The sequence below is a fragment of the Homo sapiens genome, chromosome 22 (genome assembly GCF_000001405.40).
Source record: "Homo sapiens chromosome 22, GRCh38.p14 Primary Assembly".
NCBI lineage: Eukaryota > Metazoa > Chordata > Mammalia > Primates > Hominidae > Homo > Homo sapiens.
Window position 1 is genome coordinate 46,097,926 of NC_000022.11, and position 19,688 is coordinate 46,117,613.

The window sequence follows — 19,688 nt, forward strand, 5'->3', positions numbered from 1 at the left end:
AATGTGGCCCCGTCCCAGAGCACCACCCGAGACATCAGGAGCCCATCGTGGGCTAGGGAAGATCCTCCGGGACCTAACGGCCCAGGTAGCTGCGTCTTTACTCCCCGCCTGGGCAGGGAAGGACTCACTCCAGTCACAAGCAGCCTGGAGATGGATGGTTTGGCAGAGAAGGGGAAACCCCAGCACCAACCCAGCCCCAGGCCCCACCTTGCAGCCAGGTCTGCCCTGCCCAGAGTCCTCGAGGGGCTCAGCCTGACCCTGACAGGTAGAAGAGACCCCACTCCAGGCCCAGAAGTGAGGGAGTAGAGCAAAGGGTCCCTGGCCTACTGTGTGACCACTACCTGCCGCCCTGCCCAGTGGGACAGGGATGCCCCGCACCCAGCCTCCTCACCATCCAGGTGGCCTGGGGGCACCCAAGGCTTCGGGCAGCCCCTGAGCTGGGCCCAGGTCTCATGGCGGTCTCAGGGCAGGCAGGGTGAGAGCTGACAGGGAACAGATGAGGGAAGAGCACCCCACACACCCGGGGGTTCCACCATAAGACTTCCTCAGCGTTTCTCTTTCCTTCCAGGTCTTCCACCCTTGGCCACCTCCCCAGGTGATGCCTGAAGCTCAAGGGACTGTGTCCACCCTCAGGTCAGTACAGTTTGTGAATGTTGATGAAAATTGGGGCTCCCCACATCCCTCCCTTCTGGCTCCACCCTCTGCCGGGCGTGCCTGAAACTGGACACACACACACACACAGCACACACGTGTATATGCACCAGCCCCAGAGCTCTGGGGGCCAAGGAGCCAGGCAGGTGCTTGCTGCCCATTGGCACGGGCTCAGCTGGATCTAGCCCGGCCTCCTGCTCCTTGCCCCTACCAGCCTCTTTCTGCGGCCACCAGCCTCTTTCTTTCTGCAACTGAGGGACCAGGGCTCCAAGCAGCTGGGTTTGGTCCAGGTCTGGCCCTGTTTTTTGGGCTCCCTTCTGCCTGAGTTGGGTGACACTCCTGTTTGCAAGGATCCAGCTGTCTCAAGGGCCCTGGGAGGGGAGGCCAGGGGCAGCCTAGGGGACCAGTGACTACAGGGCAATTTGCAGTACCTGCTGGGGGCTCAGCAGGTAAGATGTCCCCTGCCTGCTGCTGTCTGTCATGGCTGTCTGGTGGCCATGGCCGGGGGCGGGCTTGTCATGCTGGGAACTGCTCAGAGGCTGCGGCCAGCCTGAGGCCCCTCGCCCTGGCGAGCCAGCCCCCGAGTGCAGACTGTCGCCGATGATTCTTGCCTCCTGGGGCATCCGTGCGGCCATGTGGGTTGGGCAGGACTGGCATTCTCCCCTCCCCACCGTTGCCATGGCCAGGGGCGGGCCCACCTCCCGAGGCTGTGCGGAGAGGACCCCAGGCTGCTGCATGTGAGCAGAGCAGCCGGTGTCTGGCCCGGACCCCTCTGCCATCTGGGGCCCGGCGTGTTTACAGGTCGGCCTTGCCCGCCAGACTCTGCAGACGCTGCCCCGGGGCCTTTGTGTCTGCACGCAGGGCTGAGCCACCAGCCGAGCGGAGAGTGGGGAGGGACACAGGTGGGGAGTAGGGGGAGGCCCCTGGGGGAATCAGGGAGGAGGGGCAGGACAGAAGAGAAAGGGGATGAAGGGTAACAGAGGAAGGAGAACAGCGTGGGGACAGGAGAGGGGCAGGGACTGGGGAAGAGGAGACACAAGGCAGGACAGGGCAGGGCAGCCCTTGGAACTGTGGGGCTGTCACAGGGATACCAGCCTGGGGGAGCAGCTAACCCCAGGCATCTGACAGGGACCTAGTGGGTCTTGGCCAAGGCGATCTGGTCAACGGAACTGGGGTTTTCCTGGCACCCACCATAAGCCCAGGCCTGCCCGTGGGACCTCATCCCACCTGTACCCAGCCCTCCCTGTATACACAGCTGGCCACCACCTAATGTAATCCCTCTGACATCCCACAGGCAGCAGTGTTGGTCTCTAGGGTCCAAATGAAACAGACCCCACAGGCGTGTCCCTCACACAGGACTGAGCATGGAATGTGCCCCTCCCTGAGTCTCTGACTCCCAAGCCTGGACTGACATGTCCAGGGAGGCTGCAAGGGTGTGTCCCCTGGATCATGGGCAGGGGGCACCGTGTGCAGCTGCTGAGGCTCAGGATGTGTGGGAAAGGGCCTGGAGTGGAGGAGAAGAGGCCTGCAGGGGAGTGGACAGTCCAGGGCTGGGACCAGCACCCCAATATGCATGATCCGTGGAAGATGAGGCTGGTCGCACACAGAAGGTGCTTACTCAGTGCTCGTCAGATGCCAGATGCTGGCGTAATCACCACAGGGGTCACACACCCTCCGTTAGGACCACCAGCAAGGCAGGGCCACCGTCCCACACTGTTCTTGCAGAGACGGAGACTGGGGATCAGGAGCCTGGCCCTACTCTGGCCTGCAGCCTTGGGGGCTGCTGGGGCTGTGGAGGGCCTCTGGGGTGCTGGCTTGGACTGGGGGAGCCATTGAAGGTCCATGGGGACCGGGACTCCTTCAGCAGCGTTTGTTTTTTAGCTGACTCAAAACTGCTCCCCTTGGAGGCCTTGGCCCAGGATGGGGAAGCCTCAGCCGGGCAGGTCCCTCGGCCTTGCCCACCTCTCATGGGCCTCACGCTCAGGAGGTGGCATCCTGCTGGCCACACCATGGCATTAGCCCCGTGCCTCACCCACACTTGGTGGCAATAACAGGAGCCACAGCCCCAACCAGAGCCGGCGGCCGCGTGGCCCCCTTGATACCCGGCACTGGCTGGTTTTCTGAAGGGACTCGTTCCTGTTCTGGGTACCCTGGGTTCTGGCTGATGGAGAGGCCGCCCTGTCCTTCAGGAGTGGGTGCAGATGTGGGTGCATGGGAAACCCAGACGTGAGACGGGTGATGGCTTGGCACCCCATGGCAGAACCATGCTGAGAAGCCACATCGGCCAGCTCCAAGACTGCCTAATGGACCTGGCATCCACAGCCTGAGAATGGGCCCCGGGGGACCACAGTGTGACCTCAGCAGCCTCTGCAGATGGTGGAGTGGCACTTTTTCTTCTCCCGAGAGGTTGAAGGGCATCAGCAGCGGCCCCAGGTGGCCTCCACATGCAGGTCGAGGGGACAGAGGTTTGTTCTCATGTCAAATACCCAGACGCCTTTTTAAATTTTTTTTAATGTTTTTATTTTCTATTTTTTTGGAGACGGGAGTCTCACTCTGTCTCCCAGGCTGGAGTGCAGTGGTGCGATCTCGGCTCACTGCAACCTCTGCCTCCCGGGTTCAAGTGATTCTCCTGCCTCAGCCTCCAGAGTAGCTGAGATTACAGGTGCCTGCCTCACACCAGGCTAATTTTTGTATTTCTAGTAGAGACGGAGTTTCACCATGTTGGCCAGGCTGGTCTTGAGCTCCTGACCTCAGCTGGTCTGCCCGCCTTGGCCTAAAGTGCTGGGATTACAGGTGTGAGCCACTGCGCCCAGCCTGATGCCTTTTTATACCCAGACAGAAGCAAGCAAGCCCTTACAATGGCCCTGCATTTGATCTTTCAGTCCTGCTGAAAATGCAGATGCTTCCTGACTTGCAGTGGGGTTTGTCCTGAGAAACCCACTGTAAATTGAAAATATTGTAAGTCAAAAAAGCATTTAATACACCTAACTACCAAACATCATATCTCAGCTCAGCCTCCCTGAAACGTGCTCAGAACACTTATGTTAGCCTCTAGTTGGGCAAAATCATCTAACACAAAGCCTATTCATGATAAAGTGTTGAAGATCTCCTGTTATTTATTCAACACTGTACTGAAGTGTGGTTGGTTTCTACTGAATTCATATCCCTTTGGGTTGAGAAATCTTAAGTTGGATCCTGGTAAGTCGGGGCTGTCTTTATGGACAAAATGCAGAGTGATGGCCCTCACGCGGCACCTCCCTGTTGGCTTTGAGCAGCACTCTCTGTCTGGGAGAAACTTTAGTGAGCATGAAGTTGAGCCCTCACCGTGATGAGGGATGGGACAGGGTGCAAGGACAGCCACCTGCTGTTGCAGGTTTCACCTGGGTGAAACACCTTCTTGATTCGGTTCAGATTTGTTAGGAGTTCCTGTGGGCCAAGCCCTGAGCCAGTCACATGGAGTCATCCCTCTTCCTGATGGCCCTGCTGAGTGCCCCTCCCCTGAGGCTCCCAGAGCCCACGGGGCTTGCCCTGGCCACCAGGCTGGCATACAGCAGAGCAGGGCCCTGGCCCCAAGCTGCCCCGCAGTAGAAACACCTCTGGGTTCCATGAACGTTGTCTCGCCAAGGTGTGGGGCCACCAGATCCCTCAGGGGCGGGGAAGGTCTGGGGTCTGGGCCGAGCCTTCCGAAGTCTGGCTGTGCAGTGGGTTCAGGCCCTGCCACTCAGACCCTTGCCGGGATGGTGCCGGGGTGGGCCAGGCCCCCAGCCCCAGTGCTCCTGGCAGTGGCCAAGGCTGCTGCCTCCTCAGCTCTGGCTTCCCTCCCTGGCCTGGTTGGTTGGGCACCTGGCCTCAGGCATGGCCCAGGCTGGGGGCCTTGCTCCCCACACAGTAGTGAGCTGAAAGCACTGCCATGTCCAGCTCTGGGAAGGAGCAGGCTCCCAGTTCATCCCGCAGCCTCGTGTCGCTGCTCCAGCTGTCCCGGGTACGACGTGCCCTTCTCCAAAAACACCTCACCCACCCAGCTGGGCTGGCCTCGAGAACTGGGGAGTCAGAGGCCCTTGGCTGTCCCTGAAAAAGGAAAACGGGCCTCCTGATGGGGGCTTCCTGGGCTCACCCAACACAGAAGGACCTCCTAGTGCCCGTGCGCCGGCAGGTAAACCTCTTTGGGTCCCCGTTCCCTCATCCCTGAAACATGGGGAGCACAGTTGCTCCTGCGCTGGCTGTGGCTGTGGGGGAAGGAAGAGCCGCTCCATTCCTGCGTTTGATCAGGTTGTCACGAGGACTGAGTGAGTCACCAGGTGTGAGGGGCTTTGGTGGGTGTGTCACAGTGGCAAAGCATTCACACCGGCCAGGTCCCCAGCTGGGAGCATGTGCCCAGGAGCCTGCGGTGTGCAGCTGGTCTAGCCCCACCGTGGAGCAGCCACGTGGGAGAGGCCCCGGGAACAGGCGAGGTGGCTGTGCCGTTCACACCCAGAGAGTCGTCAGGGCAACTGGTGACACGGTGATGGGGACAGTGGCACCTGCCCTTGATGCTGCCCTGTGTCACCCAGGCAGCCCCCACCCCATGAACACTGTGCAGGCTTTTCCCTAATTTCATTCTTGTTTTTTGATGAAGGCCCTGCCCGTGGCTCTGGATCGGCGGTCCCCATCAGAGGCCTGGGCTGAGTCCTCAGGTGTGTGAGTACCATCTTCCCCTGACCCGGCGGCCCCACAAACACCCCTCTGCCAGCCACAGCTCGGCCGCCCTGGGCCTTGGCCTCCCAGTCTGTGCAGTGGGGTTGGTGACGATCACAGGCTTCTGCTCTGTGCAGGTCGGGAGGGAGTGCCATGTGGCTGCACCCCCAGCCCAAGAGCAGCCTCGCTGCTGGACCTTTGGGTTCCCAATAAGATCTGGTGAAGACACATGGAGACCACTGCTGGGCGGGGGCAGGAAGGCGTCCCTGTGGCACCCTGGGGCCGCCCATCTGTTGGATCTGGAGGTGCTGCCTGCCAGGCTCTACTCTGCATCCAGCGAGTGTTTGTTGGGGGCAATGGGGCCCGTGCCTTTTGTCCAGAGGAGGCCGGAGAAGGGGACACAAGAGGGGAGTGGACAGACGGTCACCAGGCAGATAAGCAGGACGGGGCTCGGGGCTTGTTTGGGAAGTGGCTGGTGCTGAGCTTGGCTGGGGCAGGGCTCCAGGAGGGGCCGAGTGGGCCCCACCCCCGACCCTTGTCGGCAGGGCCCCGAAAGTTCCACGCTGTTGGGGGGGTGCCGTGGAAGGTGGAGCGGGGAGCAGCCTCCGATCCCTGGAGCAGGTTCCCCAGCGTTCCCGTGGCAGCCACTTCATGGCACAGTGGTCCCCGGAGTTCAGGCCAGGCCCTCGAGCCGCCTGTCTGGGGACCACTCCAACCTCAGGCAAATGAGGGGCGGCCCTCCCCGGGTCTGGGGGCAAAAGAAGGTTTTGAATCCGGAAGCCCAGGCTCAGTAGGCCCTTGCCACCTCCCCCAGAGGTCATGCCTCAGGCTAGGCCACCTGGGCTGCAACATGGGAGGGCATCAGTGCCCCAGGCAGCCCCCAGTCCCCCGGGGCCACTGCAAGACCCTTAGACGGGACGACAAGGCCTCTAGAAGCCCCGGCTGCTGGGAGCCTAGGCAGAAGAAGGGCCCACCTGCCTGTCTCTGGGGCCGTGCGCGGGGCGGGCACTGTGCTGCTTTTCCGGTGGCTCCTGCTCCTCCCGGCCCCATCACCACTCCCACCCGCGGCGGCCTTTGTCTTCCAAGCGCTCTGCAAAATGGCCGCCCGGCCTGCCGCCATTTTGTGGCTGAGGTGGCCGTGGCCTTGGAGAGGCCTGGGAGGGAGGGCGGCCATGGCCTGCCTGCCTGCCCTTGGCGGCCTGGACAGAGCCCAGCGCCGGCCCCCGCCCAGTCTGGCCTTGGCCGTGGCTGCCCCAGGCTTGGCACCAGCCAGCCTTTGGCAAGGCAGCCCGGGAGTCCTGGCCCCTCACCCAGCCCTGCCGGCCCCTCGCCACCCTGAGGCAGCCCTGCTGAGCAGACGGAGAAGCCTTGAGCCAGGGCCGGGCCAGTACAGCCTCGCTGGCGGGGGAGCCCTGGGCCGAGGGCAGCTCAGGCGGGTGTGGGGCCCACCTGGGCTCCCGGCACCTCTGCAGGGGTGACGCCTTCAGGCCTTGACGGCTGCACCTATCGCGCTCCTGGCCTGGCCCGGCCGGGAGTGGGTCTCTCAGTGGCCGGCCCAACTTCTGGCTTAGAGAGGGGCACCGCCATCCTCAGGAAGAGGGCAGGGCCGCACTCTGGCCAGGATTTCCCTGTGTTGGGGCCAGCCAAAGTCTCTGACACACAGGAGTGGAGGACCTGTTCCCTCCTGGGCCCCTCCACAGCCCCCACTCTCCTGCAGGCCCCATCCCCGCAACCTCAGCCATTCCAGACAGCATCTCCCTCCCCACCAGAGCCCCTCGGCCTCTCCTGAGCCTCTGAGCTTGCTTCCTGCCCCGTCACAGGCCCATGCACCTGCCCTTCCAGTAGCCAGAGGATCCCAAGTGGCACATTTCCGAAGGGACGGTCTCCAGGAACCCCCAGGGGCCAGGGTGGCTGCAGAGCAGCATCAGGGAGATGCTGGGTGTTGGCCGTGGAGGACAATTGTGCCCCTGGCCAGGCGGGGAGGGGGCAGGTGGACCCTGTGGGAGCCCTGTGGGAGCCCTGTGGGGTTGGCCACACATCGGTTCCTGCTATCCTTGCAACAAGATCCCCTGGAGGGCAGTGTGCCTCCTAGAAGAAGGCAGGAGAAATCACCACGTGAAGCAGAGAATGGCGTTTGATGAGTGTGTGCTTTTTCTAGGGGTCGACGCAGGTCCTCTGGGCAGCATGGGGTGGTGCCGGGTGGACCCCACGGTGGCCTGTGTTCGCCACGTGGCCGTGGGTCAGTTCCTCGCTGGAGGAGACCCTTCCCCAGACACCTGCCGGGCACCCAGCCAAACCCTTGAGGCCTGGGAAGGTCTCTGGATGCCACCCTACACCCCGCCCAGACTCCTCTCCCTGTGGTTCCTGGACAGAACATTCCGTCACCACGAAACGAAGTTTGCCCAGGCCCTGCCTTCACCCTGGGAAAACCCAGCCGGGCATGGGAAGGAGGAATGCTGCCCGCCTGCCCGCCCAGACCAGAGTCGCCCCACATGCCAGGCCAGGCCCGCATCCTCCTGGGGCACACGGGAGCCCCAGGCTTCCCGGCAGGAAAAGCCCCCCACCGCAGAAGGGCTGGTCTCTGGTGGGGAGTTGCTGCTGGGTGGGGTGACCACAGGGCGGGGTTCAGGCTGGGGTATTTTTAATGATGTAGTTGCATCTGGTCACCGCCCCCTGCCACCCCCGATTCTTTCCTGCCCTCCCCACCTTGTGACCCAGACTGTGGCTTGAATTAAGAATGTTTTCAGATAAGTACACGCCTTTGAGGTTAAAAGTATGCCTAATGATTAAACACCAGACAGAGATCCCCACAGGAGAAGAGCGGGCTCCGCATTCCTGCTTTTCCCCTTTGGACTCCAAGCAAGCCTGTTTGCGTAACCCGGGAGCATTAAAGAGCAGCTTCCCCGGATTCTCCCCACAGCCCTGGGGGCTGGCGTCCTGACCCATCATACGGAGGAGGCAGCTGAGGCCCAGAGGGGTTAACCTACCCCATCCCAGGCCCATCACTGAGGGAGACAGAGCAGGTCAGAACCAAGCCTGGCAGCCCCCAGGGCTGTGCCCCATGGACGCAGGTGTGTCTGCAGAGCAGGGTCCTCCCCTGCCAGTGCCAGCCCTCAGGTGTCTCGGGTGCTGCGTTACTCTTGTGAGCTTCCACGCTGACACCTGTGGCCACAATGTTGGTGTCTGCTGGACCTCTGGCCCTGTTCTAGGTGCAGGACATGTGGCCACAGCAGGCCTGGCCCCTGCCCCAGGGAGTGGACATTCCCTGAGCCTGCCCCCCACCCCCACTGAGAACTTAGTGGCTATGAGAGAACAGGAAAGCAGGAAGCTAGACAGGGCACAGACCCCCGACGGTGGAGACCCTGACCCGGAGCACGTGGGTGTCAGTTTTGGGGAAGCCAGACAGGGAGGGTGCTAACAGGAGGGCCAGTGAGGGGACCTTGGGACCCCAGACAGCCCTGGAAGGAAGGCAGCCCTGGAAGGAAGGCAGCCCTGGGGTCCGGGCCACGCTCCATCCTGGGGGCACCCCCTTCCCACCTGCGTGCAGTGTGCAGGGCCGGGGGAGGAGCCTGGATCTGAGGAGTGCAGTTCCAGTTGTGGCTTTGCCGCGGCGTCCCCATGGCATGCTGTTGGGGACCGTGAGACTGTGGGCGGCCTAGCTGTATTGCAGCCTGAGGCCAGAGGAGAGGTCAGTAACCCTTACCCGTCCCATCTTGATTTAAGTTTGATATTTTTAGATCATGGACGTTTCTGCATTGATTTTCTTTTTTAATTTTGCAATCAGATATTTCTGCTGATGGCTGGGTTTTTGGTCCTTTTAACATGCTTCCCACACCTCGCCCTGGTCCCTGCCCTGCTGCGGCCGAGCCAGAGCCGCAGGCTGCCCCGTGTGTGTCTCGTTAGCTTTCTGGGCCGTGTTTGCAGGAGGCCCGCCTCCCGTCCTAGCCCCCGGACGCCACCCCTCCCTGTCTTTTTCCCAGATCCATTGTTGGCACGGCTTGCTGAGCAGAGACACTGGCCGCTTTATGGGGAGAAACCCAATCAGGGTGGCGGGGGTGTGCTCCTTGGGGGGGTCCGGCTCCCAGTGGCCCTGAGCCAAGCCCGAGGTGACTTCGGGGTGACACCGTCTGTCTGCCTCACTTGCTCCAGACATCCGCCCGGCCCTGAAATGGCCACCTGCCCACCGAGGCCTCCGCACACCTGTCCTGGCTGGCCCGGCCCCTCCCCCGCCTGGGCCTGCCGGGCACCCTGCCCACGGGCAGACACCGTGGGGCCGGGGCAGCGCCCGGGAGGTGGCAGCTGGCAGATGGCAGAGCGCCTGCCGACTGCTCACTCCCCGTCAGCTCTGCTCAAGGAGCACCGTTTACGCTGCATGGCCCTCCCAGCCCTCATCCAGGCTGGCTGCGAAGGGTTTCTCTGGTCTGTCTCAGGAAGCCTCCTGAGAAAGGGGAGATTCCTGCTGTCTCCCCAGGCCTGAGCCCCATGCTCACCCCCAGGGCTGCCAGGTAGGTGGGCCTGGAGATCACCCCCGCACACACCCCACAACACGTGCAACTGGCCTTCTCCCCACCAGCTCAGAAATGGCTCCATGAGTGGGTCACGAAGCTGAAACATCAGTCTTTCCCCACCCCACACCCCAGAAAGCCCTGGTTGTCGGCTGGAGTTCTCCTGATTGCGTGCAGATCCTCCTGCGGTGGGGGTGGAGCCCGCTGAGGTCACAGCATCTGTGTCCTGGTCCTGTGGAGCACAGCAGGGTTGGGTGTGCAGGAAATGTGTCCATACACCCTCCTCAGAGTCCCCCGGAGCGGGCACTGCCACATTCAGGCTCCCTGACCACTGCAGGCCTGGGTGGTCCAGATGCGAGTCCTAGAGCCTTGCGGGCAGAGCTGGGACTCACCAGGGAACACAGGGCCCTCAGGGGAAAGGAGCAGGAAAAAGCAGGGTGGTTGTGCCTGGCAGAGGGACAGGCCAGGGCAATGCTGGGAGCAGAGGCCTGCCCGGGACACTTGCTGCTCTGGGAGGCTGGAGGGGGAGCCCGGGCTGCGGGCATGCTGGGGAGGGGCAGAGACAGTAGAGAGGGTGTCAACAGTGGTAGACGGCCTAGCTGGCTGGGAGCGTGGGCAGGGCTGGTGCTCAGGGAGGAGGAGGGAAGGGCACCCCCCACCCAGTGTCCCCACAGGCCCCTCAATAGCCTGGTGGGTGACTCTCCCGGTCCCCAGCAGGGCTGCTCTTGCTCGAGGTCACACGGTACAGGGCTGCAGGGAACCACGGTATGTCTGCTCCCATCCAGCGTCTTGGGCTCAGCCCCGGGGACCCACATCCCTTCCTGCCTGGATGCACCTCCCTGGCCTTTGCACCCCGTGCGCACCCTGCAAGGGCACTCCTGCCAGAATGGGCTGGCGTGAGGTGAAGTTTTCATTCACTGGACAAGACCTTGCCGAAGCCCTGCAGCCCCAGACTGGATGCTGTGGGCCCCTCCCGGGGGTTTCCGCTCGTGGGAGAACCCCAAGCCTTCCTCGTCCTGGGTCCCAGGGGAAGCCACAGCCCCCCTGGACCCTCAGCATCCTCCTCGGTGCAATGGGGGCTTAACCCCTCCCTCCATAGTCCAGCCACCTGCTGACAGGCCAGGCACCCGGGAAAGCAGCACCAGGCTGTCCCCCCTGTGCATCCTGCTGCCCTCCTCTGGGCCCTAGAGCATCCAGGCACCAGCCTGGCAGGGCACAGGCTTCCCAGCAGGGGGACATGACCACTGACCACTCAAGGACAGGCTTGGGTCTTGGTCCCCTCTGACCTGGCATTGTCCAACACAGGGCTGGCCACGGAGGCCATTCCACATTCCATCCAGGCCCTTACAGGGGTGGGTGAGCCACTAGGCGAGAGACGGGCCAGGCTGGAGTGTCGGTTCTGGTGCGGGACGGCTGGGCAAGGCCCAAGGTCACAAAGGGGTTCAGAGCTGGGTAAGGCCACGTCTCTTCCAGAGCTGACACTTGTCACTTTTGTTTTTAAAACCCAACAGGTCAAGAAGTGGCGCTGACCTGGAGCCCCTGCCTGGGGCTGGCCTTCCTCACAGTGAGCTGGGCCTCCTGCCATCCTGGCTCTGGAGGTAGGAGGAGCCGTGGGAGGTCTGATAGGGAGGGAGGGCTATCTCAGAGCCAGGCCACTCCCGGTCCTCTCCAGGCCCCACCCTCAGGCACAGAGGTCCTTAGGTGGGGACTTGATGGTCTCACAGCCAAACCTTCGCCCAGGCTGTGGCCTCCCCTGAAGCCATGTCTCTTCTTGTCTTCCCGCCACTCTTCCAGCAAGCTCCCCCCGTTGGCCCACCTCATCTGCCCACTGTGCACTTGGGGCATGGTGATCTTTGACCCTGGTGGTGCACCCCTCAGGCTGGACAGGGCCTGAAGGAGCCGTGGTTCATTGCAGGGCGTCTGAGTGGAAGAGGCTCAGCCTCACCTCCACACCCTGAAGACTCACTCTCTGGCCCTGGGCTCTGTTGTGTGCACCGCCTGTCTGCAGGGCCCAGCCTGCCTCGAGCACTCCCTGGGGACAGAAGCTCCTGCGCTGGCCTCTCCTGTCACCTAGCCACCGGGCATCCTGGAGTGCAGCCCTCATGCCCCGAGGCCACCTGCCATCGCCCAGGATGACTCAAGATGCCACCTGGGTAAGTCTAGCCCAGAACGAGAAAGGCCGAATGAGGGAAACTGAGTCACATCTGCTTCTCCCAGGTGGGGCTGGGGGCCCAGGGGGAGGGCACTTGTGGTGACGACCAGGGTGGACTAGGGGCCTGTCTCCCATTCTGTCTCTGCCACACGTTATAGAGCCCGACCTGTGGGCTGGGTCCCCCCATGGTGAGCACTGTAGGCTCTAGGAGGCTGAAGTCCTGGCCTGGGGGACCTGTGGGGGCCAGGCTGGGGCCATTGGAATCAGTATGGTGGTCCCCACCTGCACTCCAGCTCCGATGGCTGATGACGGGGGCCCTGGCAGCTGACCCCTTGCCTCAGTGGGGAGACCACGGCTCACGAGGGCATGAGACCTGCCCAGAGCATAGCCCAGAGGCCGGCCTGGATTCTCACAGCTCCGCCCACTGGGCTGTCCTGCCCCACCCCCTTTTTAGCCTGCTGGGACCATGAGTCAGAACCCAGTAGGTGTGAGGGGACCCAGCCAGCCCAGGTGGCCAGTCCAGCCTGAGGGGGTGGGGGTCTCAGAGATTAAGTCAGGAGCCCAGAGTGCGTGCTTAGGGTGCAACCCACCCCACAGCCTCCCCCAAGGCACCTCCCGGGGGTGCAGATGGGGGCAGACGCAGGGACACTCAGGGTGGACCACCTGACTGGGAGCTGATCATGAGGTGTGCGACAGCCTGAGTCAGCCTCAGCTCAGAGGAGCTGGGATGGCCTTGATCTTCCCCCTCCGGCCACTCACCACAGCTGGGAGGGTCCAAGGAGACCCTCAGCCACTGTCCCTTCAGCCCTCACCCCACCCTGGCTGGCTCTGCCCGGACAGTCCTTAGGGACATCTTGGTCCTGCCCACCAGCCAGGGGACCCAGAATTGGAGCAGGGGAGCAGGACCCCCAGACCCTCTCATACCGCTTTTGTTCTGAGGCCTTGAGGGAACACGGGGTCTTCGCGACCCCAGGCGAGATGATGCTGGGACAGAGGAGGGTCGGGCTGCATCGGGGCCCTCCTGGTCCCCACTCCTGGGTGAGTCAGCATCTCAGTCTCCAGTTCTGGGTGGGCGGCACCAGGTGTGAGCCTCAGCGGTCTCCTTGCTGGCTAAGGACCTGGGATTTGCTCCAGTGCCCCTCGGGAGGGAGTAGGACACGTGCCCAGAGAGCAAGCAGACCCCCTCCCCGACCAACTTCTGAGAGCAAAGACACCTAGAGCTAGAGATTCAGCACCCCCTGAGCCTCAGTTTCTCCACTATGAAGTGGGATCCGTGATCTCAGCCTTACCAGGGCTGTGAGGATTAAATGGTCCAGCCCAGCCTGGGGCCTGCCTGGAGTAGGCAGCCTGCTCAGGATGGGCTGTGGAAGGAGGGCTGGGGTAGACCTTTCAAGTCCACTTGGGCATGGGGAGCTGAGAGCTAGCATGCCGTTTAACTTGGCAGGAAGCAGGCCGGGCGCAGTGGCTCATGCCTGTAATCCCAGCACTTTGGGAGGCTGAGGCGGGCGGATCACGAGGTCAGGAGATCAACACCATCCTGGCTAACACGGTGAAACCCCCTGTCTACTAAAAATACAAAAAATCAGCCGGGCGTAGTGGCGGGCGCCTGTAGTCCCAGCTACTCGGGAGGCTGAGGCAGGAGAATGGCGTGAACCCAGGAGGCGGAGCTTGCAGTGAGCCGAGATCGCGCCACTGCACTCCAGCCTGGGGGACAGAGTGAGACTCCATCTCAAAAAAAAAAAAAAAAAAAAAAAAAAAAGCTTGGCAGGGAGCAGGACATTTGGACCTCACTCTGCTGCCCCCTTGGCTGTGTGACATCCAGGTCACGTTGCCTCTCTGGGCCTCGGTCTCCTCACCTGTTTAAGAGGGGTTGACAGTCGTATCTGCCCCCTCAGCTTTTCCCCAGGAAGGTGGTAGCCACAATTAGCATTTGTTGAGGCTGACCCTGCACCAGGCCCAGGATAGGCGGGGCTTAGGGAGGCCCGTCTCTCGCCACGTTCCCCTGCTAGGGGAGCCCCGAGGCCCTCTCAGTGTCATCCTCATGCTACACTCTGTCCCAGCCCTGTGCGTCCCAAGCTAGGGCACTGAGTGTGCCAGCACCCGCAGGGACAGGCACTGGACCCTGGGTGGACCTGAGGGTCTGTGACTACCCCCCCAGCTGCTCTCCCCTAGAGGCCACTTCCCTCAAGGAAGGAAAGAACCTTCCCGCCACCTCCTGCAGTGCGGTCAGCTCAGGCCAGCCTGCACAGCAGGGCCAGAACCAGGGCCCCTGGGGAGGGATGCCTGCCTGCCCAGTGGGAGGAGACGGCACGCCCGTGAAGCCGCTACTCAGCCAGCCTGGGGGCCACGAGTGCTGCTTCTGGTGGCGCTGTGCGGGGAGGGAGGGGGCCGAGCAGGGTGGGCACTCGCATGCCTGTGTCTTGCTGGCCTTCGACAGATGACAGCCCTCCTCCTAGGGTCTCCAGTGCAGAGTTCCTTGGGGACATTATGGCCACTCCTGTCCAGATGAGAGGGAGCCGGCTGCCTGTGACAGCGTCGCAAAATGCCGCCAGGGCTTTCCCTCCCTCCTCCTTTCTCTCTTCCTCGTCCCTCTCTGGTTGGTGGTTTCCTGCAGGCTCCCGTCCCTGCTGGTGCTGGCCACAATGTCCCCACTCCCAGGGTTTCGGCGTCCCAGCCCCCTGCGCCCACCGCGCCTGCCCGCCAGAATCCCTGTGCCCTTGGTGCGTGTGGCCTGCCGAGCCTCGAGCCCCTGTTCTCCTCAGCCCTCTTTCCTCCCGCGTCCCCAGGAGGTGCCTCTGGAAGCCACGGAGTCCCATCGGCACCAAGACCGACTGCCCTTTGGGGTGAGGTAGTAGGTTGTATAGTTTGGGGCTCTGCCCTGCTATGGGATAACTATACAATCTACTGTCTTTCCTGAAGTGGCTGTAATATCTGCGGTGGACAGAGCGTCTGGAACCCTGGCTGGGAGCGGGCAGGGCCAGGTTTGGGGGCAGCCTTGGCAGCAGTCGGGGGCAGGGGCCGCCTACACTGAGAAGTCTGACAGGCCTAGGTGCCACTTGCTGTGTGACCTTGGACAGGCCCCTGATCTCTCTGGGTCTCAGTTTCCTCCTCTGTAAAATGGAGGCAAATGAGGATGGAAGGAGATGCAGTGTGGAGCATCGAGGGCAGAGGAGAGCTGAGCCGACCCCACCCTCTGCCCCAGCCGCACTGAGAGAGGCGATCCACGCAGCTGTTTGTCTGACCTCTGTCTCCCAACACTCCCCAACACTCCCCCCGCCATCAGGCCCAGGCTCATGGGTGGCCCTGAGCCGTACCCTCCACTGAGCACCAGGAGAAGGCACCGTGGGGCCAGGGGTGGCCGAGACGTTTGGAGGTCACAGGGCTGCGAGTATTGGCGTTGCCCATCACCCCAGGTTCCCAGCACGTGCCCCAGCCTGGCCAGCTCAGTGGCAGGGCCTCTGCCTGTGGAGGAAGGGAGGCCAAGGCACCTTTCCTGAGCAGGAAGTGAGAGGAACAGCTCTGCATACACTGGGTCCCACATGGCACAATCTGAAGGCAGACAGTGGCTCCTCTGTACCTGGGGAAACTGAGGCCCAGAGAGCCAGGGACTTCCCAAGACCAGCCAGCAGCAGCTGCCCCTTCCTGGGGTGCCATCTCCCCTGTCCCTCCTGCCCTGCGCCTGCCCAGCCCTCCTGCTCTGGTGACTGAGGACCGCCAGGCAGGGGCTGGTGCTGGGCGGGGGGCGGCGGGCCCTCCCGCAGTGCAAGGCCGGGCCTGGCGGGGTGAGGTAGTAGGTTGTGTGGTTTCAGGGCAGTGATGTTGCCCCTCGGAAGATAACTATACAACCTACTGCCTTCCCTGAGGAGCCCAGTGACACGACCCCATGGGAGGGCCGCCCCCTACCTCAGTGACACGACCCCACGGGAGGGCTGCCCCCCACCTCAGTGACCTGCAGGGGGCCTGAGCCGAAGCTGGGTGGGCATCTGGGAGCTAGATTCAATAAAGCTGTTCTGACCATGAACTTGGAACTGGCCCCTTTCATTCTGGAAGCCCAGGGACTGGGCTCTGGGGCGCGTCTGCTGCGGGACAGTGTGGAGGCCCCTGGCCACGAGCTGTTCCAGGTCATGAGACTTGTCTGCTCACGCCTCCCGGTGCCTCCAGAGTCCTCAGTTGGCTCCGTGCTGTACCCTGGGCTCAGGATCCCAGGCCCAGCCCGTTCTCTGCCCTCTCGTGCTGCCTTTGAGCCAGGCGGGCTGAACACCGGGACCCAGGCCCGGTGGAGAGGTCCCCACGGGGCAGCCACCAAGGCCCCAGGTCAGCAGCTCAGAGCACTGCCAAGTCCTGGCTCCTGAGGCCACCTCCGTGCCTTAAGTGCCTTGACCAAAGTCTGGACGTGCCTGTCCTTCCGTCCTCCCTCAGGACAGTTTCCAGGGCACCCGTAATTCCTCTGACAGACTGCCATCCCAAAAGTGCACCCATTCTCCTGGGAGGCCTCAGGCCCTCGTCTAGCAGCTGCCGTAGGCTGGGCCCAGTGATCCCGCCCTGGGCATGTGGGGTGGGCTTGTTCATGCCTGGCCCAGCACCGAGAGCCCCTGGTGGGGAGGGGCTGATACAGCTGGGCCCACACCTCCCCCACCCAAGTGCCCATCCTCGCCCCTCCTGTTGACCCAGGCCACAATCTTGGCCCAGATTCCCCCCTGTGCCCTCCTGGCCTGCCTTGGTTCTGCAGGCAACCCCAGCCCTGCATGGCCACGTCTGGGCAGACCGGCACCCCTACCCTGACACCCATCTGTGCCAGTCCTGCACGGCAAACACCTCAGAGCCCAGGCCTGCCTACCCTCCCGGAGCTGCTGCCACCCTGTGGGCCAAGGGCAAAGGGACGTGGAGGAGGGGCCCAAGGGCAGGGAGGGCTTCCTAAAGCAGGGACCATCTGAGCTGGGTCTTGACAGCTGCGTAGGAGTTTGCAGCTGGAGATGAGTGACGTGCCCCATGGTCCCTTCTCCCATCATCCTCTGGGGCCAGAGTGGGTGACACATGGGCACTGTCCAAATCCCCTTCTTCACCCCATAATTAGTCAGCAGCCACATCTGGCCACTTCTGTCCTCTAAACACCATTTCCATCCCTCCCCACTCCCACTGCCAGGCCTCAGAGTCTCAGAGCAGCCCCCTCTGTCTCCGGAGCAGATCTCTGCTGACACCCTTGCCTGCACTGCCTCCCAGCACCCCTCCCTCATGCCTGTGCTCACCTCCACCAGGACTCTCCTGCTCACCACCGCTCCCCCACCCCTCAGTCCACGGCTCAGACCCATCTCTGGCCACCGCAGCCCCTGTCTGTGTCTGAACAGACTGTGAACGTCCCGAGGAGCCAGCCTCTCCTCCCAGCCCCCATACTGTGTAGTTGGAGCAGGGTTTGGCCCTGCAGAGCTCAAGGCCTGGTCGGGGAGCTGCCAGGGACACACAGTGGCCATGTGTTGGGGTCAACATCACAGTGGAGCAGCCCAAGGGCTGGGGAACCCTAAGGATCCCTGGACCCAGCCCTGCAGTCAGAGGCAGCTTCCTGGAGGAGGTGATGCCTGGCTCACCCCACTTCCCTCCCTACCCTCCAGCTGACCAAAACCTTCCCTGCTGACTGGCCGTCCCTAGAGATGGGGTTGCCAAAACTCGCCCAAAATATAGGATGAGGGCAGCCTGTGGAAGTTCTGGGGGTGACAGGCCTAGATTGGTCACTCTGCTCACCAAACCTGTTTCCCATCTCGCAGTGGGGTCACCGTAGCTTCCACCTCCCAGGGCGCCCATGAGGATTTAAGCTGATACCAGATCAGAGTGCCCAGGGATGTGGATGAGTTGCCTTGAGAACAAAGTCCAGGGAGGAAAGCCGGGGACCAAGGACCTTCAGGATGGCCCCAGCTTCCCGGGCTGTGCGGGAGCCACGTGCCACGGACCCCTCCCAGCTCAGGCAGTACCGCCAGAGCACAGCCTTACCCTACAGAAGAAAGGTCGGCGTGGCCCTGTCCTCCGAGGAGATGAGGGCTCAGAGAGACTCGAGGGGGCTCCTGGGCTGTCCAGAGTGGGCCCTTTGAGAGACCCCTGGGCCCTAAGGTTCAAGTAGGCCACCGCTGACCTTGGCCTTCCTAGGAGGGATGCAAAGCCAGCCCACCACTTGAACCCGGCAGCCTGAGCACCGAGGGACAGGGCCGCCATCCAGGGCCAGGGCTAGGACAAGGCCAGCAAGGTGGCAGACACGGAGCATCTCGGCCGGGGGGCCTTTCTTGGGTCACACATCAGCACGGGGCACAGAGGTGAGAGCCCAGAAAGAGTCTTGTTTCCATTTCTTTTAAAACGGGAAGGGAAAATGACCCCTCCAATACTGAATATATAATGTATAATGAGTATATTATAGACTGGTGTAGATGATGGGGTGAATATAGCGCGAACCCAGCCTGGGTTCTGGGTGTCTTACCACCCCAGTCATGGGTGCGGTTTGTGATTTTGTTGTGAATTGTGGAGGAAGGGCCCAGGAGGGCCACATGCCCTGCCAGGGAAGCCATAGAGAGCCCTGCCCCGGGAGGTCAGTGCCTCCTTCAATGCCTGCGATCCCTCACCCTGCCCTGCTTCCCCCACCATCCGCCCCGCCTGGGCAGCCTGGGCCACTGCCCGCCAGCCACCCCCGCCTTCGGACTGTGCATTTCCCGACAGCGACACCGTGTGGCAGCAGCCCCCACCTCCGAGGCCAGCCCCGCCTGCACCCCCCCCCCACCTCCGAGGCCAAAGCTGTGAATAGGGTGACCCCTTCTGGGCTGTGGAAGCCTCGGGTTTGAGGACAATCCTGGGGAGGGACCCCAGGGCGCTTCCCGCTCTCCTGGCGTGTGTGTGTTTGCGGGGGAGGTGTGGGGGCCTCTGTACCCATCACAGCCACGTGCCGGGACCGCCGGCCATCGTCCCGAGCCAGCGACATGCCTGGCAGCCTCCCGCCCACCTACGCCCCGCTCACCACCAAGGAGCTGTCAGCATCACTGCCCCCAACGGCATCTGGCAAAACTGTTGGGGGTGAGCCAGAGGGAGCACCCCCGTCCCCAACAGCGCTGAGTTGAGAGCCACATCTGTCTCCAGGCACTGCCACCAGCAGGAAGGGAGGCCACCCTGAGCCTGGGAAGACTCCGGAGCTGGGTTATCTGAAGGCCGGGAGTTCAGGTGGCCCCAGGCAGAAGAGGTGGCACAGTGAAGGTCCACACATGGGAGGCGGGCGGAGTGGCTGAGCCTGAAAGTTGGCATCTGGGCCCACCAAGGACAGGCCTGCCATGTTTGAGCCCTGAGCTGAGCCTCCCCAGAGCCTGGGGGGAGGCTGGAGCCCCAGTGAAGGGCCTCAGATGCCAAGGAGGGAGGTCAGGCCCTAGGGCTAAGCCCCTGGCACAGACTCATACCCACACAGTGGCATTTAGTGAAATGGGCTCCTCTGACGTTGCCTCCTGAAACAGGCAGGGTCGGAGGGGTCAGGTCTGATGAGGCCTGGGGGCATCCCTGTGCCAGCTGGGTGAACATGGCTGGTCACTGTCCCATTCTGAGTTCAGCCTCTTTCTAGAACAAGAAGGGAGGTGGCACCAGCCAGGTCGCACATCTCAGATATCGGACAACTGGGGAGCTGAGGTGGACCAGGAAGGGGAAGGCTTTCAGGTCTGGCTTGCTCAAGGGACTCAGCTCCTACCCCG

General features: G+C 62.7%; 1 protein-coding gene, 1 long non-coding RNA gene and 3 other non-coding genes across 9 annotated transcripts in view, besides 2 other annotated features; all 5 read left to right on the forward strand.

The window, feature by feature from the left end:
- The window catches only part of LOC124905135 (collagen alpha-1(III) chain-like), a 69,285-nt gene extending 53,282 nt beyond the window's left edge, over nucleotides 1-16,003 (forward strand). For 3 of the 4 annotated variants that reach the window (XM_047441696.1, XM_047441695.1, XM_047441694.1), the window contains exon 2: nucleotides 1-16,003. In XM_047441696.1, the coding sequence (XP_047297652.1) occupies nucleotides 5,555-6,664 (1,110 nt within the window). In that variant the 5' untranslated portion in view covers nucleotides 1-5,554 and the 3' untranslated portion in view covers nucleotides 6,665-16,003. The other variant, XM_047441697.1, reaches the window with a different exon arrangement.
- The window catches only part of MIRLET7BHG (MIRLET7B host gene), a 27,932-nt gene extending 11,929 nt beyond the window's left edge, over nucleotides 1-16,003 (forward strand). Inside the window, exons 2-6 of one of the 2 annotated variants that reach the window (NR_027033.2) lie at nucleotides 1-85; nucleotides 569-633; nucleotides 5,267-5,324; nucleotides 11,342-11,428; nucleotides 11,746-16,003. This is a non-coding gene — a long non-coding RNA (MIRLET7B host gene). The remainder of the gene's footprint in view (nucleotides 86-568; nucleotides 634-5,266; nucleotides 5,325-11,341; nucleotides 11,429-11,745) is intronic. The other variant, NR_110479.1, reaches the window with a different exon arrangement.
- Nucleotides 6,732-7,246: an enhancer, noted in NCBI's record as "H3K27ac-H3K4me1 hESC enhancer chr22:46500537-46501051 (GRCh37/hg19 assembly coordinates)". NCBI's record gives its function as "activates a minimal SCP1, AML or CMV promoter by ChIP-STARR-seq in primed H9 embryonic stem cells {active_cell/tissue: H9 hESC(primed)}" and the evidence as "EXISTENCE:reporter gene assay evidence [ECO:0000049][PMID:30033119]".
- Nucleotides 12,852-13,385: an enhancer, noted in NCBI's record as "H3K4me1 hESC enhancer chr22:46506657-46507190 (GRCh37/hg19 assembly coordinates)". NCBI's record gives its function as "activates a minimal SCP1, AML or CMV promoter by ChIP-STARR-seq in naive H9 embryonic stem cells {active_cell/tissue: H9 hESC(naive)}" and the evidence as "EXISTENCE:reporter gene assay evidence [ECO:0000049][PMID:30033119]".
- Nucleotides 14,824-14,897, forward strand: MIRLET7A3 (microRNA let-7a-3). The gene has a single exon (NR_029478.1). It is a non-coding gene; the product is annotated as a microRNA let-7a-3 (primary transcript).
- MIR4763 (microRNA 4763) lies at nucleotides 15,641-15,732 on the forward strand. Its single transcript, NR_039920.1, has one exon. It is a non-coding gene; the product is annotated as a microRNA 4763 (primary transcript).
- On the forward strand, nucleotides 15,761-15,843 carry MIRLET7B (microRNA let-7b). The gene has a single exon (NR_029479.1). It is a non-coding gene; the product is annotated as a microRNA let-7b (primary transcript).
- Nucleotides 16,004-19,688: the final 3,685 nt, after the last annotated feature.